This window comes from Homo sapiens, chromosome X, assembly GCF_000001405.40.
Source record: "Homo sapiens chromosome X, GRCh38.p14 Primary Assembly".
In the NCBI taxonomy this organism is placed as follows: Eukaryota; Metazoa; Chordata; class Mammalia; order Primates; family Hominidae; genus Homo; species Homo sapiens.
Window position 1 is genome coordinate 153,093,013 of NC_000023.11, and position 17,418 is coordinate 153,110,430.

A 17,418-nucleotide genomic window follows, 5' to 3' on the forward strand; every position below is an offset into this window, starting at 1 on the left:
ATTAAGTGGCTTAAAGAAAAAACAAAAAGATTTATTTTTCATAGTTCTGGAGGCTGGGAAGTCCAAGATAAAGATGCCAGGAGATCCGGTGTCTGGTGAGGGCCCACTTTCTGGCTGTCTTCTTGATGTGTTCTCACATGACAGAAAGACAGAGAGATCTCTCTCCTGCCACTTCTTGTAAGGGCACTAATCACATTCATGAGGGCTCCACTTTCCTGACCTGATAATCTCTCAGAGGCCACACCTCTTAATACTATCAGGTTGGGGGATAGCATTTTAACATATGAATTGGGAGGACACAAATAGTCACTCCATAGCAGGAGCTTATCCTTACTTCCTCCTCAGACTCTTACCCCCCAAATTATTCTGCCTTCTCCTGTTTTTGTCACTCTTCTTCTTGAAGTTATGCTTGCTTTGCCTCCCATCAGAATCAGGACTGCATGTTTGGTCCTCTTTCTTCTTCTGATTAATAGGACTGTGTCTCCTTATTTTGAGGAATTCTGCAAATGTGTACTCAGCATCTGACCCAGTCCCTGAAAGAGATCCCAAAAGACAAGCCCTCAACTTCGTTCTCTTGTGCCTCTCTACCGAGTTGGACGAATGCAGGCTTTTTTCTTTTTTTTTGAAAATGCTCGGTTTGCCTGGTATACACTTGTCACATTCTACTATGCTCCCTCTAGCTCTGCCTACTTCTGGCCCTCCTCCAAATGCTCCTTGGTCCCCTTACCTTCACCAGCTGTGCCTGTCATACACCTGCTACTGATTTAGCTTACTTCAGAAGACACATAGTCCTTTTAGGGATTGCCTTGTAATAATTGAATGTTGTCACCAGTGAGGCAGCTTAGACAGTAAATACTGGGAGCTGTGGGCTTTAGAACTATGTGTGGGACATTTCCTAGCCTGAGGAGAAGTGGAGAGGGATTTCCTATCTCCTTGCCAAAGTTAAATTTTCTTGCCAAAATGTGGTGCAAAACTGAATTATAATAAAACAATCTTGAAGTTAGTAACACGATGCAAACTATAAGTTATTGTCATAGTCTGTTTTGTGCTGCTATAACAAAATGCCTAAGGCTAGGTAATTTGCAAAGAACAGAAATTTATTTCTCACAGTTCTGGAGGCTAGGAAGTCCAAGCTCAAGGCACCAGCATCTTGTGAGGGCCTTCTTGCTGCATCAGCATATAGTGGAAGGCATGAGGGCAAAAGGGGACAAATGCTGTGTCCTCACATGTCAGAAGAACAGAACAGCACAAACCCACTCTAACAAACCCTTTTTATTTAATGGCATTAATCCATTAGGCTCTCATGACTTAAATATTGTCCAAAAGTTCCTATCTCCCAACGCTGTTGCAGTGGGGATTATATGCAACACATGAGCTTTGGGGAACACATTCAGTCCATAGCATTGCCCCTCTGGCCCACAAAATTAATGTCCTTCTCACATACAGAATACATTCATTTCATCCCAATATTCCCCAAAGATTTAACTTATGCTAACATCAACTCAAAAGTCTAAAATTCAGAATCTCATCCAAATCAGATTTATGTTACACACATCTGTGTGAAGAGACCATCAAACAGTCTTTGTGTGAACAATGAGGCTGTTTATTCACTTGGGTGCAAGTGGGCTGAGTCCGAGAAAGGAGTCAGTGAAGGTAGATGGGAGAGGGGCAGTCTTATAGGACTTGGGTAGGCAGTGGAAAATTACAGTTAAAGGTGGTTATCTATTGTTAGCAGGGGAGGGGGTCACAAGGTGCTCGGTGGGGAGCTCCTGAAACTCATTGTCTAGGGGAGGAATGTCACAAGGTCGATTGATTAATTAGGTTGGAGCAGGAACAAATCACTATGGTGGAATGTCATCAGTTAAGGCAGGAACTGGCTGTTTCACTTGTTTTGTGGTTCTTCAGTTGCTCCAGGCCATCTGGATGTATATGTGCAGGTCACAGGCGTTATGATGGCTTAGCTTGGGCTCAGAGGCCTGACATTCCTGTCTTCTTATATTAATAAGAAAAACAAAACAAAATAGTGGTGAAGTGTTGGGGCTGTGAAAACTTTTGGGGGTGGTATGGAGAGATAATGGGCAATGTTTCTCAGGGCTGCTTCGAGTGGGATTAGGGGTGGCGCGGGAACCTAAAGTGGGAGAGATTAAACTGAAGAAAGATTTTGGGGTAAGGGGTGATATTGTGGGGTTGTTAGAAGGAGCATTTGTCATATAGAATGATTGGTGATGGCCTGGATGCTGTTTTGTATGAACTGAGAAACTAAACGGAAGACACAAGGTCTGAATAAGAGAAGGAGAAAAACAGGTATTAGAGGACGAAGAATTGGGAGGACCAAGGACATCCAATTAGAGAGTGCCCAAGGGGGTTCAGTGTAATTATTTGCTTGGTTGGTGAGTTCTTGGGCTCTATCCTTGAGTTTTTCTATGTTGTCATATACCAGGCCAGTTTGATTTAGGTAAAACAAAACAAAACAAAACAAAACAAAAAAACGCTTCATTTAAAAATATACAGAGTCCTCCTTTTTTAGCAGTAAGTCGAGGTCTCAGCTGTTTTGGAGGACAACCACAGCTAAAGAGTCAACCTGGGCCTGAAGGACTGATAAAGTTTGTGATATGTCTGTGATGCTAGCAGAGAAGTCATTAGAGAGGCTATGGAAGGTTGTGACAGAGGTTGAAATGCCTGCTACTCCAGTTCCAAGAGCAATAGTGGAGGCAGAAAGTCCTAAACCGACAAGCAAGGGAATTAGTGGAATAACCCTTTTTTGTTGTGTCAGTGTCATGAAGGGAACAGGAAGCTGTTCGGTCCCATTTGCAAATTGAATTTTGGGAGTAAGGAAAACTGGTGTGCATGCGCCTGTCCAATTAACAGGAAAACACATGTAGGTGGATGAGCCACAGAGGAAAAAGAGACCTTGTGTAAGGCAAAACTGGAAGTGCAAAGTGAAGAGGTGAGAGGGTGTACTAAAAGAGATGTCTTCATATGGCTGGGAATGTGGAGTAGGCAAGAGAAGATTAGCAGTCTGGCGAATTTCCTGTCTAGCCTGCTGAAGGACTGGAAGATAGTCACCTAGAGGGCTGGTGTCTGGAAAAGTTTGGGGCTGAGCAAGAAAGTACGTCCACATAAAAGTTTAAATGGACTGTACCCTGTAGCATCTTAAGGGCAGGCTCTAATTCTGAGAAGGGCAAGTGGTAGAAGTACTGTCCAGTCCTTTTTAAGTTGGAGGCTGAGCTTGGTGAGGTGTGTTTTTAAAAGGCCATTAGTCCATTCTACCTTTCCTGAAGATTGAAGATGGTAAGGGGTATGAAGATTCCACTGAATACCAAGAGCCTGAGAAATTGCTTGGGTGATTTGACTAATAAAAGCCAGACCATTGTCAGATTGCACAGAAGTAGGGAGGCAAAATCGGGGAATTATATCTATTAGAAGGGAAGAGAAGACTGCAGTAGCCTTTTCTGAGCTACTGGGAAAGGCCTCGACCTACCCGGTGAAGGTGTTGACCCAAACCAGGAGATACTTAAATTTACGGACACAGGGCATATGAGTAAACTCAATCTGCCAATCTTGTGTCAGAGTAAATCCATGAGCCTGATGCATAGGAAAAGGAGGAGGCCTGAGAAAGCCTTGGAGGCTGGTGGTATGGCAGACAGAGCATTGAGAGGTGATGGTCTTAAGGATGGATTTCCATGAAGGGAAGGAGATGAGGGGCTGCAGGAGGATAGCCAGGCTTGTATCCCACATGGAAGTGGTCATGAAGGGAAGAAAGAATGGACTGAGCTTGTGAGGCAGGAAGAATGAATTTTCCATGCTCGAAGGACCACTTGCCCTGAGTTGGAAAAGACTGGTAGAGGAGGTTTTCAGAACCAGAGTAGGTGGGAGTGATAGAGGAGAAAGAAAAATACTGGTCCTCTGGAGTGGGGGCTGGAATATTAGCAGGTGTGGAAACATTGGCTGTTTCTTTTGCTGTCCTGTTGGCATAAGCATTTCCTTTTGCAATAAGATCAGTAGGTTTCTGGTGTCCTTTAAAATGAATGACTCTAGCCTTGGCTGGCAGGAGAGCAGCCTTAAGGAGGGCCTTTATGAGGGAGGCATTGATAATGGAAGAGCCTTATGTGGCAAGGAAGCCTTTTTTGGCCCAGATGGCAGCATGGTTATGGAGGATGTGGAAAGCATATTTGGAGTCAGCATAAATGTTAATGTGCATTCCTTTAGTGAGAGAGAGCACACAAGTTAAAGCAATCAGTTCAGCTTGTTGGGAAGTGGTGGAGGGAGGAAGTGCAGCAGCTTCGATAATAGAGGTGTGGGACATGACAGCATATCTCGCTTTAGCTGGTGAAAATTGATTGAGTTTAGAAGAACTGCCATCGATAAACCAAGTATGGTCTGGGTTTGGAATTGGAAGAATAGAAATATGAGGAAAAGGGGAAGATGCTAAGTGTATTAGGGAAATACAGTCATGTGGTTCAGGACTTGTTTTGGGTGCTAAGTGAGAAGCTGGGTTGAAATCAGGCCCATGTGTAATAGTTACTGTTGGAGTTTCAACAAAGAGTGAATATAGCTGGAGGAGTTGAGGGGCAGACAATAAATGTAAAAGGTGTGAGGAGGATATTAATGCTTGAAGGTTGTGAGAACTGTAAAGGGTAAGTGGAGCATAGCCTGTGATTTTGAAGGCCTCTAGAAGTATTAAAGTGGCAGCTGTCACCACACGCAGACATGAGGGCCAGCCCAGAACTGTGAGGTCAAGTTGTTTTGATAGAAAGACAACAGGTCGTGGGCCTGGCTCCTGTGTGAGGACTCCAGCAGCACAGCCTTGTATTTCAGCTGTGTGTAAGGAAAAAGGATGGGATGAGTTGGGGAGTGCTAGTGTGGGAGCTGTCTCCAGGGCCTTTCTGAGAGAGTGAAAGGAATAATGGGGTAAAGACTTAGGGTCTATGGGATCAGTTAAATTACCCTTTGTGAGCTTGTAAAGTGGTTTGGTTAAGATAGCAAAGCCTGGTATCCAGAGTTGGAAATATTCAACAATGCCTAAGAAGGAAAGGAGTTGTTGTTTGATGGTGGGGATTGGGGTCTGGGAGATGAACTGAACAATGTCTTCAGGAAGGGTGTGTGTATGTTGATGGAGGATTATACTGATATAGGTAATGCTAGGGGAAGAAATTTGTGCCTTGGAGGGGGATACTCGGTACCCCTTTGAGTAGAGATGTTGAAGAAGCAGAATAGTGTCCTGCTGGGAAGATTGGTAAGAGGGGCTGCAAAGAAGAAGATCAGCAATATATTGAATAAGGTGGGAGGCAGATGGGCAAAAAGAAAGCAGATCATGAGAAAGGGCCTGACCAAAGTAGTGTGGGCTGTCCCTGAAGCCCTGGGGCAGAACAATCCAGGTGAGTTGTTGGGATTGGTGGGTGTCAGGGTCAGTCCAAGTAAAGGCGAAAAGAGGCTGGGAGGAGGGATGCAAGGGGATAGTAAAGAAGGCACCTTTGAGGTCGATAATAGAATAGTGAGTTGTGGAAGGGGGTATTGAAGATAGGAGGGTGTGCGGGTTTGGCACTATAGGATGGATGGGAAGGACGATTTGATTAATAAGGCGAAGATCCTAAACCAACATGTAAGACTTGTCCGGTTTCTGGACGGGTAGGATAGGGGAGTTGTAAGGAGAATTTGTAGGCTTTAAGAGGCCATGTTGTAACAGGTGGGTGATAACAGGCTTTAACCCTTTTAAAGCCTGCTGTGGGATGGGATATTGGCACTGAGCAGGGTAAGGGTGGTTAGGTTTTAGTGGGATGATGAGGGGTGCATGATTGGTTGCCAAGGTAGGAGTAGAGGTATCCCATATTTGTGGATTAAGGTGGGAAGATACAAGAGGAGGATGTGAAAGAGGCCTTGAATTGGGTAAAAGTGCAGCAATGAGGTGTGGCTGTAGCCCAGGAATAGTCAGGGAAGCAGATAATTTGGTTAAAATATCTCAGCCTAATAAGGAAACTGGCAGGTGGGCGTAACTAAAAAAAGAGTGCATAAAATAATGTTGTCCAAGTTGGCACCAGAGTGGGGGAGTTTTAAGGGGTTTTGAATCTTGGCTGTCAATACCCACAACAGTTATGGGGGGCAAGGGAAACAGGCCCTTGAAAAGAAGGTAATGTGGAGTGAGTAGCCCCTGTATCAATTAAACAGGGGACGGACTTACCCTCCACTGTAAGAGTTACCTGAAGCTTGGCGTCTGTGATGGTCCAGGGGGCTTCTGAGATGATGGGGCAGCATCAGTATTCAGCCACTAAGCTGAGGAGATCTGGGAAAGAGTCAGCCAAGGAATATTGGGTTTGAGCTCCAGGAGCTTTAGGAGTGGCGGCGATGTGAGTTGGACAGTCTGATTTCCAGTGGGGGCCCACACAGACAGGGCATGTCTTAGGAGGAATCTTGGGCTGTGGGCATTCCGAGGCCCAGTGGCCAGGCTTTTGGCATTTGAAGCAAGGTCCACGAGGAGGTTTTGAAGGAGCCCCTGGGAGCCGTGGCTTGGATGTTCTGAAGGTTTTGTATGCTGGAGACGTGGTTGTGGGTTGTCTTACAGCGGAGGCAAGTAGTTGTAACTCAGAGATAAGTTGCTGCTTGGCAGCTTCTTCTCTGTTATTGAACACCTTGAAGGCAAGGTTGATTAAATCCTGTTGTGGGGTTTGAGGGCCAGAATCAAACTTTTGGGTTTTTTTTTTTTTTAATGTCAGGAGTGGATTGGGTGATAAAATGCATATTAAGGATAAGGCGGCCTTCTGGTCCCTCTGGGTCTAGGGTGGTAAAGAATCTAAGGGTTGTTGCCAAACGGGCCATGAACTGGGCTGGGTTTTTATATTTGATGAAAAAGATCCTAAACGCTAACTTATTTGGGAGAGGTCAGATAAAGAAAAAGTCACATGTACCCTGACTATGCCTTTAGCTCCAGCCACCTCTCTAGGAGGAAATTGTTGGGCAGGTGGGGGAGAGCTAGTCGGGGAATGAAACTGTAAGCAAGACTGAGTGTGAGGAGGGGGGGTAATAGCAGGGTTATAGGGTGGGGGAGCAGAGGCTGCGGAAGAATTGGGACCCGATTCAGCCTGGCGAGGAGCGGCCGGGGGAGGAGGAGAGAGGTCAGAAGGGTCAGTGGAAAAGGAGGATTCAGAGGACTCTGAGCTTGGGGTGGAGACTGAAGGAGCAGACGGGAGAGAAAGAAGGAAAATCTGAGACAAGTCGCACTGGGAGCAGAGACTAGGGAGGGAGCGAAGTGTAAAAAATGTTTGGACGTAAGGCACCTCAGACAATTTGCCCAATTTTTCACAAAAATTATCTAGGTTTTGTAGGATGGAGAAATCGAAAGTTACATTTTCTGGCCATTTGGAACCATTGTCAAGTTTATATTGGGGCCAAGCGGCATTGCAGAAGAAAATAAGACTTTTGGGTTTTAGATCAGGTGTTAGTTTAAGAGGTTTTAAGTTTTTAAGTACACAGGCTAAGGGGGAAGAGGGAGGAATGGAGGGTGTAAAGTTGCCCATAGTGAAGGAGGTGAAATTGAAGAGAAAGGTAGAGATGTAGAGAAGGGGAAGTGAGCAGCTACCAGGCTTTCATTAGGTGTCCCTGGCTGAGTCCTGGGCTGTAATGTGGGTGATCAGCCAAAGCAGGCATCCCCATAATTGGCTTGCCACGAGGGGAGTGTGGGTGAATGATCAAGGCAGGTGTCCCTGTGAAGATCAGACACCAAGGGACGACTGTCTTCCCAAATCTGTGACCGACGTCGGGGTTTCTGAATTCACAGATAAAATGTGTCTCCTTTGTCTCTACTAGAGAGGAAAAAGAACTGGAATTGGAAGGACAAGGAGATTGAAGGGTAGCAAGAGAGGCTGGAGAAGAGAGTGAAGAGACCACTTACCCAATTTGAAATTGGTGAGATGTTCCTGGGGCTTGTCTGAGGACTGGAGGTCATAGGTGGATCTCCTCATGGAGTGAGGGCAAGGACAGGGGACTGGTCTCCCAAAGGAATCCCCCTGTTCCGGGTTTTTCGGCACCAAATGTTACACACGTCCATGTGAACAGACCACCAAACAGGCTTTGTGTGAGCAGTGAGGCTGTTTATTCACTTTGGTGCAAGTGGGCTGAGTCCGAGAAAGGAGTCAGCAAAGGAAGATAGGAGAGGGGCAGTCTTAAAGGACTTGGGTAGGCAGTGGAAAATTACAGTTAAAGGTGTTTATCTATTGTTAGCAGGGGAGGGGGTCACAAGGTGCTCAGTGGGGAGCTCCTGAGACTCATTGTCCAGGGGAGGAATGTCACAAGGTCAATTGATTAGTTAAGGTGGGGCAGGAACAAATCACAATGGTGGAATGTCATCAGTTAAGGCAGGAACTGACTGTTTCACTTGTTTTGTGGTTCTTCAGTTGCTCCAGGCCATCTGGATGTATATGTGCAGGTCACAGGGGTTATGATGGCTTAGCTTGGGCTCAGAGGCCTGACAATATAGATGAGACTTAAGGTATGCTTCATCCTTAGGTAAATTTCTCTCCAGGTATGAGCCTGTGAAATCAAGCAAATTATGTACTTCCAATATACAATGGTAGGACTGGCATAGGATAAACATTCCCATCCCAAAAGGGAGAAATAGGAGCGAAGAAAGGAGTAATAGGCCACAAGCAAGTCCAAAACCCAACAGGGAAAACAACCATAAATCTTAAGGCTTGAAAATAATATTCTTTGACTCCATGTCCCACTTTCCGGACACACTGATGTGGGGGTGCAGTCTCCAAGGTTCTGAGCAGCCCTGTTCCCATGACTTTGCTGGGAACAGAGCATGTTTCAGCTCTCATGTATTGAAGTTGCATGCCTGTGGTTTTCCTAAGCCGGAGTTGCACTCTGGTGGCTCTACAGTTCTGAGATCTCAGGGGTGACCCCACTTCCACAGCTCCATTAGGCTTTGCCTTAGTGGGGGCTCTCTATGGTGGTTCCATGTGTTTGGCTGGTCCCTGCCTGAGCCCCAAGGCTGTTTGAGACATTCTATGGAATCTAGGTGGAGGACGTCATGCCTCCACAACTCTTATGCTGTGTGTGCCTGCAGAGTCACTTCCATGTCAACACTGTCAAGGCTCATTACTTGTCCCCTCTAGAGTGATGGCCTGAGTCATACATGGACATGCTTCAGCCACAGCTGGGGTGGCTTAGGTGCACCACACTGGAATTTGGGGAGCAGAGACCTGAGGCACCTCTGGACAGTGAGCCCTGAGGTTCCACAGGAGCCCGGGGCCCCTTGCTTTAAACCATTCTGCCCTCAATTGAGGCCCTGGTCCTCTGGGCCTGTGATTGGAGGGGCAGCTTTGAAAATCTCTGAAATGCCTTTGTGGTCATTCTCCCATTGTCATGATGAATAGTACCTGGATTCCTTCTATCCATACTAATCTCCTTATCAGTGGTTGCTTGGCCACACCCTAGAGTATGTAGCAGAAAGTCAACACCTCATTGTAACACTATATCTATGGCACCGCACACGGGGGACCTAAGAAGGAGTAGGCTAGAGCACGTGACCTGAAAGACTATCCAGACCAGAGCTGTGTTCTTCAGACTTTTGCAAGACCTAGGGTTACATGGAGGTAACACAGTGCCACAGTTGTTTGACTCAAATTGTATATACATGCTGCTGTTTACCAGTATCTCAGGAAGCAGAATTTCAGTGACATCCAGTGTAAAAAGGAAGGGCAAAGGGTAGATAAATAAGGGTTTTGTAAACCAAATTCCTGTGTGGGATGACAGCTAATGCTGTATCAGGGATGAAAGCTGTAGACCTAGCTAGAGGCACTGTGTGCCAGCATTAATACAGGTACAAAGAGAAAAGGAACTTTTGAATGACCTGTACCCAATAATTGATTGGAGTTATTGCTGAGGTGACAGAAGATGGTTACTTTCAACTTTGTGTGCTTCTGTGGGGTTTGAACATGTTTTTAACAATCCTGAATTACTCTGGTAATCAGGAAAATTTTATGAGATCGGGTGTAGGCTGAAGAAGGTTTGGTCCAGGTAAGGACAGGAAGGAGTCTTGTGGGAGGGAAGTCAATGGGGAAGTAGAGGAAGAGCTTGGCTTGGGTTGTCTTACCTTGACCCTATCTATGGACCTGGCTTGTAGGGGTGTTCCTCTTCTTTCCTTTCTGGTGTTGAGGGTTGGTTGTCTGGTAACAGTGCAAGTTGCTTTTGGTTTCCCTGTCACCATTGCCATGTCAAACCCTCCCATTGGTCTATACCAGGCCCCATGGCCTCCTTTTCTATACTCCTCACCTGGACAATGAGTAGCCACACACCCAGGGTCTGTTCTGTCAGCAAAACACACCCTAGGCCTACATTAGTGCTGGGGAGGGGACTTAGACATCACACAGGACCATCCTGACACGTTTATGGGGTGGGAGGTGGGCCAACCAAGTTGCTGCAGTTTTAGAAGGTGTCATTTCTTTAACCCCCTTAAAGAACTTTCCCAAGTGGACACGATTTCCCTCCTCATGCCCCCATGTTCAATTCTGGTGTAACACATGCCAGGGACAGGATGTTTCCTTTAAGCTTTTCTCCACATCCACCCCATTCAATGGTTGACTCTCTTCCCTCCCACACTTCGTAATCACCTAGTGTTTCCGCATCTTATCTACAATCCCTGGCAGGTCCCATGGATGTATTTATGTCTGTGGAGAAGTGAATCACCCACTTACAGCCTACAAATTTCTCTTATTTGTCTTGAAAAACTCTCTCTTGGACACTACCTGGGATCTTTTTCATCCCACCTGCTTTTACCAGGGTCCACATAGCTCTCCTGAATTTCCTGTTTTCCCATCTCCAACCACTGCCTTCTTGTTCTGTGCCCCCTTGGCATCCTGTCCTTTGTAGAGCACTACCTACATCAGAAGCTGGTAAACTCTTTAGGATGGTACCTAGCACAGTGCCTGTCACATAGTAGGCACTCAGTAGAGCTTTGTGAAATAAATGGATAGGATGAAGGATAGCTTGCTTTCAGAGGTCTACAGGAGTGACAGAGCATGGTGGCTTCCGGGGACAGCTGTGGAGGAGTGCGGTTCCAAATCACAAAGAATTAAGGAGACTATATTCAAGATTTGGGACTTGTGTCCCATAGGCAGTGTAGATGTTTGGAAGGCTTTGAAGCAGTTGTATGTCAACAAGATTTGCTTTTCTGAAGCCTCAGTGGTTGGGTGGAAAATAGGATTAGTGTGGGAGAAGGTAAATTCTGGGAGGTTCCTTGGGGCAATTAAAAGAATCTACACTGACTTGTCTGTGTTTCTTCCAGTTCATGAACATGGGATGCTGATATGGTTTGGCTGTGTCCCCACCCAAATCTCATCTTAAATTGTAGCTTCCATTTAAGTGTTGTGTTCCACTTATGTGCTGTGGGAGGAACCTGGTTGGGAGAAAATTGAATCATGGGGTCAGTTTTCCCCATTGTGTTCTCGTGGTAGTGAATAAGTCTCACGAGATCTGATGGTTTTATAAGGGGAAACCCCTTTCACTTGGATCTTTCATTCTTTCTTGCCTGCCACCGTGTAAGATGTGCCTTTCACCTTCTGCTGTGATTGTGAGGCCTCCCCACCTACATGGAACTGTGAGTCCATTAAACTTCTTCTTTATAAATTACCCAGTCTCAGGTATGTCTGTATTAACAGTGTGAAAATAGATGAAGACAGTAAATTGGTACTGGTAGAGTGGGGTGCTGCTGTAAAGATAACCAAAAATGTGGAAGTGACTTTGGAACTGGGTAACAGGCAGAGGTTGGAACAGTTTGGAGGGCTCAGAAGAAGACAGGGAAATGTGGGAAAGTTGGGAACTTCCTAGAGACTTGTTGAATGGCTTTGACCAAAATGCTGATAATGATATGGACAATGAAATCTGGGCTGGGGTGGTCTCAGATGGAGATGAGGAACTTGTTGGGAACTGGAGTAAAGGTAACTCTTGCTATATCTTAGCAAAGAGACTGGTGGCATTTTGCCCTACCCAAGAGATTTGTAGAACTTTGGACTTGAGGGAGATGATTTAGGGTATCTGCTGAAAGAAATTTCTAAGCAGCAAAGCATTCAAGGGGTGACTTGGGTGCTGTTAAAAGCATTCAGTTTTAAAAGGGAAACACAGCATAAAAGTTTGGAAAATTCGCAGCCTGATGATGCAATAGAAAAGAAAAACACATTTTCTGAGGAGAAGTTCAAGCTGGCTGCAGAAATTTGCATAAGTAACAAGGAGCCATATGTTAATCCCCAAGACAAGGGGGAATATGTCTCCAGTGCATGTCAGAGGTCTTCATGGAAGCCCCTCCCATCACTGGAGATAGTGAGGATGATAGGATGTGGATGGCAGTGCAAAGGAAAATGTTACAGATTACCCTACTGTTTCTAGCTTGGCACTTGGGTTGGAAGGTGCCACCAACAGAGACAGGGACTATGGGAGAAACCACATGGTGGAGGGATGAGTTGGTTTTCATCATGTTGGTGTTGAATTGTCATGGGGCTATTCAGGGAGTCTTTGGAACCATGAAACTGGAGCCCTCTTCTATGATCTTCTGAATATCAGTTTCTTGGCTATTCTATTTCTCTTTTTCCATGTTGCCACATGCCTCCTGCACCTGTTGTGATTCACAACAGAGGGTCATCTCTCTCAAGATAGAGAACTACAGGCTAGGCACAGTGGCTCATGCCTGTAATCCCAGCACTTTGGGAGGCCAAGGCAGGCGAATCATTTGAGGTCAGGGGTTAAGTGGCCCAGGGAGGCAAACTGCAATCTTGAAGAATCTCTCAGTAACTGGTTTCCTGGGCCACATAACCTTTCTAAGTCTCTCTCTCTCTCTCTCTCGATTTGTAAAACAGGAACAATAATACTTACCTTATATGTAAGTGACATGCGGGCAGGTACTTAAAGTAAAGCAGTATATGAAACCTTCTAAGATATGAGGAAGCAAGAAATGACACTCGTGGTTAACAATATTCACTAGAGTTGTGTCTGTGTGTGCATGTGTGTGTGTGTGCACATGGTTAAAACGGTAAATCTTGTGTTATGTGTAGTTCACTACAATTAAAAAAAAAAAGACAAGGAAGTCAGTCACAAAGGTTCACATATAACAGGAAGCCATTTCTATGAAACGCCCAGAGAGGTAAATCCATAGAGACAGAAAGTGCATTTGTGGTTTCCAGGGGCTGGGAGGAGGAGTAAATGGGGCGTGACTGCTAATGGGAGGAGGAGTCTTTGTGAGGATGATGAAATTCTTTTTGGAACTGGGTAGAGATGGTGGTTGCACAACATTGCAAATGTACTTAATGACACTGAGCTGTACACTTTAGAGTGGTTAAAATAGTAAATGTAATGTGATGTCTATTTCACCACAGTGAAAGCAACCCCCACCCCCGCAGTGTGCTGCAGATGTGCACCTGCAGGCAGGTGGTGTTTTCGTTCCCCGTTGCTGCCGTAACAAATTATCACAAACCCGCTGCTTCAAGCAACACAGATCTATCGTCTTACAGTTCTGGAGGTCAGAAGTCTAAAATAGGAAGTTCTAGGGGAAGAACCCTTTTCCTTGCCTTTCCTGTCACCTTGAGGCTGCCTGAATTCCTTGGCTCTTGACTCCTTCCGTCTTCAAAGCCAGCAACATCCGGTTGAGTCCTTCTCTGGCGGCATCATTCTGACACTGACTCTTCTTCCTCCCTCTCCCTCACTTAAGGACCCTTGTCCTTCAAGTGTAAAGACCTGGCCAATCCAGGATAATCTCCCCACCCATCTCACATCTGCCCAATCGCTATTGTCATGTAAGGTAACATATGTGCAGCTCCCAGGGGTTAGGCCACGAACATCTTTGGGGGCTGTTACTGTGCCACCACAGGCAGTAACGAGCTGAGTCTTGTGCACCCTGCTCAAGGGCTGGGTCCTGCAGATGAGGTGAGGAGATACTTCTGGCATCCTTATGGCTCCCTGTTTGATTCTGGGGGGGCCCCTAGGCAAAGGCCAGGCTCTGCTAATCTGGGCCAGGAGCTCTCCTCTCTGCTCTCCCTGACTTCTGTGCTCACTGGCCCTGCAGTGGCAAGGAAAAGGATTCGTCCCTTAGAACTTCCCGTTTTGGACTTCTGACCTCCAGAACTGTAAGGCAGGGCAGGGATATCAGAGAGTTCAGACCCAGGAGGTGCCCACAAGGGCACTGAGCATGCGAAGACTTCCAGGCAGTCAGCTCTTCATCCCCATCACATTCTTTCTAGCCGAGGGAAATCCTCCAGATGCAGCGAGTGTGGCAAAGCCTGCCGCCGCCTCTCGGGCTGGACTCCAAGGCAGAGGGCAACCCCTGAGAAGCACGGCCATGCACAAGCTGAGACAGGGCCAGGGTCATGGCTGAATTGTGCCCCCCCCACCTGCACCTCCCCCCCCCCAAAAAAAAAAACACACATGGCCTCATCCTCACCTTCTGATCTTGCAAATGTGACCTTATTTGGAAAAGGGGTCTTTGCAGAGATCATGAAGTTGAGCATTTTGAGAGGAGATGATCCTACATTACCCGAGTGGGCCTTAAATCCAATCACAAATGTCCTTATAGGAACCAAACAGAGGAGAAACGCAGACATGGAGACCCAGGGGAGAAAGCCACATGAAGAAGGAGGTGGAGATTAGGGCCAGGAGGCCACAGGCCAAGGGACACCTGGGGCCACTGGAAGCTGGGAGAGACGAGGAAGGATCATCCCCTGGAGCCTTCCCAGGGAGCACGGCCCTGCAGACAGCTTGGTTTTAGACTTCTGGCCTCCAGAACTGGGACAGAATCAGTTTCTGTGGAGTGATTGGGTCAACTGGTTTGTGGTGCTTTCTTACGGCAGCCGAGGGAAGCACACAGAGGCAGATGTATTTAGAGGGGTACCCCCTGCTGCAAGCCTCCTGGGGCAGGGGCCATGCCACTCTCCTTCTTGAACTCTGCTGGCCACATTGTGCTCGCTCAGGAAACGGGTGCTGAGTCTACTGCTGCTTGAGGCAGAGCTTACGGATTTGTAACTGCTTCTGTGTGGTGGCAGCTCCTCCTTGCCCAGCTCCTCCTTGCCCAGCTCATCCTATATCAATGATGCTGCCGCCACAAAACATCCCCCCAACCCAGCCAAACTCCTCCTGTCTGCCTGCACCTCTTATCTCTGCTCACCACGGGGCCCCTCCAAGGGGCCGTCTTTGCTTCCATCTCCCGCTGTGGGCTGGCAGACACTGGCACTCCTAAGGCTCTTTTGGCATCCCTAGAGGACCCAACAGACACCTCCCCACCAAAGAAGTGCACACCTAGATATGTCTAAATCACACACGTCACTGCTGTAATATGGTACTTACTATCCCATGAAACATCCACAAACTAGACACTCAGAAAGTGGTGTTGGAATAAGGGAGGTTCTATGGCCCTTCTTCTCCTGCCCCCCACCCATGCGCCGCCCACCATTCCTTTCCGTGGACCACTGACCTTCAAGTTTGAACACAGAACGGGCAAGTGGCCTTTGGAGCTGAGGGTGGGACGTGGCCTTTGGAGCTGAGGGTGGGTCATGGCCTGTTGAGAAGAGCAGGGCCAAGGAAGGATGGAAGCCTGAGAGACACTGGCAGGGGGTGGAGAAAGGCCTCCTCTCTGCCTGGCACCTCATTCATTCACTTATCCATTCATTCATTCTCCAGGCCCAGCCCCGCCTGTGGGCCTATGGTGCCACCTCCAGAGCATGGATCCTGCCCTCTGAGCTGTTGTTAATGACTTAGATTTATCTTCCGCTCGGGAGCTCTCTTCCTCTGGTGTAAGCATTATTCTTTTAGTATTTTTTCAGTGCCTGGCACTGTGCTAGGCACTAGGGATCCACATTACGGCTAAAGCATCGTCCCTGCCCCTGGGGGAGGCTCTTGAGGGAAACAGGCACTGCACAGGCCATTGCCCTGGAGCACAGAGGTGTGGCACTCAGCTCCTTGTGGGGTTTAAGAAAAGGGTCCCTGTAGGATGCAGAACTCATTGTCTCCCCTGCACCCCAATAAAAGAAGGAAGGAAAAGGAAGCCGTGCTCTTCTTTCTACATTCCATGGCTTCATCATGGACATCCACACAGTGACCCAGCTGGACAAGCCCAAAGCCTGGCCTGCTCCTGGACGGCACCCTCTCCCCATCACATAGCTCCACTCAGAAATGCTTCTTGGCCCGCCGCAACTTCCACACCCTGGTCCTGGCCACCAGCTGGTCTCTTTGGGGCCATTTCAGTCCCTTTCCAGTCCCTCCACCACCCTGTAGCCAGAATGAGCTTCATAAATAACATGGACCCATGACCGGGTCACTTCCTTGCTGAAAACACCTCCGTGTCAGCCCTCCACTGCCTTTAGGATCAAGTCCCTGTGTTATACAGGTAGCTAGCCATGAGTGGGGCAGGTGAGGGCTCTTCCCCCTACCCACTGGAAATGTCGGGTGACGGTTCAGCAGTTATCGCATCGCCTCTCTAAAAGTAGTGCCGGCGCCAGACAGAGGCCAGTTCCTGACGGTCCGTACCTGTTAACATTAAAGTGTTGATTAAAGGCAGGCCCCAAGGGAGAAGCAACTTCCTGGGCACGCACATTAAGAGACAAAAATGCTGAAGTATTTTATGATCTCGCGGACACACGCCACTGGAAAAAGGGAAAAAGCCTGAGGTGGGCATGCGTACAAATCCCACAACACACTGGGCAGGTGCAGTTCTCAAGGGTAAGGAGGACACGGTGCGTGCAGAAAGCCCACCCTAAGGGAAGAATCATCGGAAAGATGTGAGCCTATAAAGTCCCAGGGTCAAGGGGAAAGGCCCTTTTTTCTCTTTCTCTTTGACCTTCAGGTGCCCACTTGGATCTCTTCCAAGGGTTCTTTCCTATTCTAAAACCTTTTTTTAATAAACTTACACTCCTGCTCTGGAACTCACCTCGGTCCCCCTTTCTGCCCTATACCCCTCAGTTGAATGCTTTCTTCTGAGGAGGCGAGAATTGCAGTTACTGCAGACGCGTACAGATTCGCCACCAGTAACTCGGGGTAACGAGGATCTCTGCCACCGCTGACACCTGTTCCTTCATGAGATTTAGAAAGTCTCTTCTGTAACAGAAAGGTACAAAGCCGAGCCAAACCTTGTGAGTGGCAAAGCGATCCATCATCAGTGATGTAGTTTGGATCTGTGTCCCCTCCCAAATCTCCTATTGAATTATCATCTGCGGTATTGGAGGTGGGGCCTGGTGGGAGGTGATTGGATCCTGGGGGTGGATTTTCCATGAATGGTTTAACACCATCCCCCTGGTGCTGTCCTCGTGATAGTGAGGAGTTCTTGTGAGATCGGGCTGTTTTAAAGTGTGTGGCACCTCACACTCTCTCTCTTGCTCCCGCTCTGGCCAGGTGACGTGCCTGCTCCCCCTTTGCCTTCTGCCATGATTGCAAGCTTCCTGAGGCCTC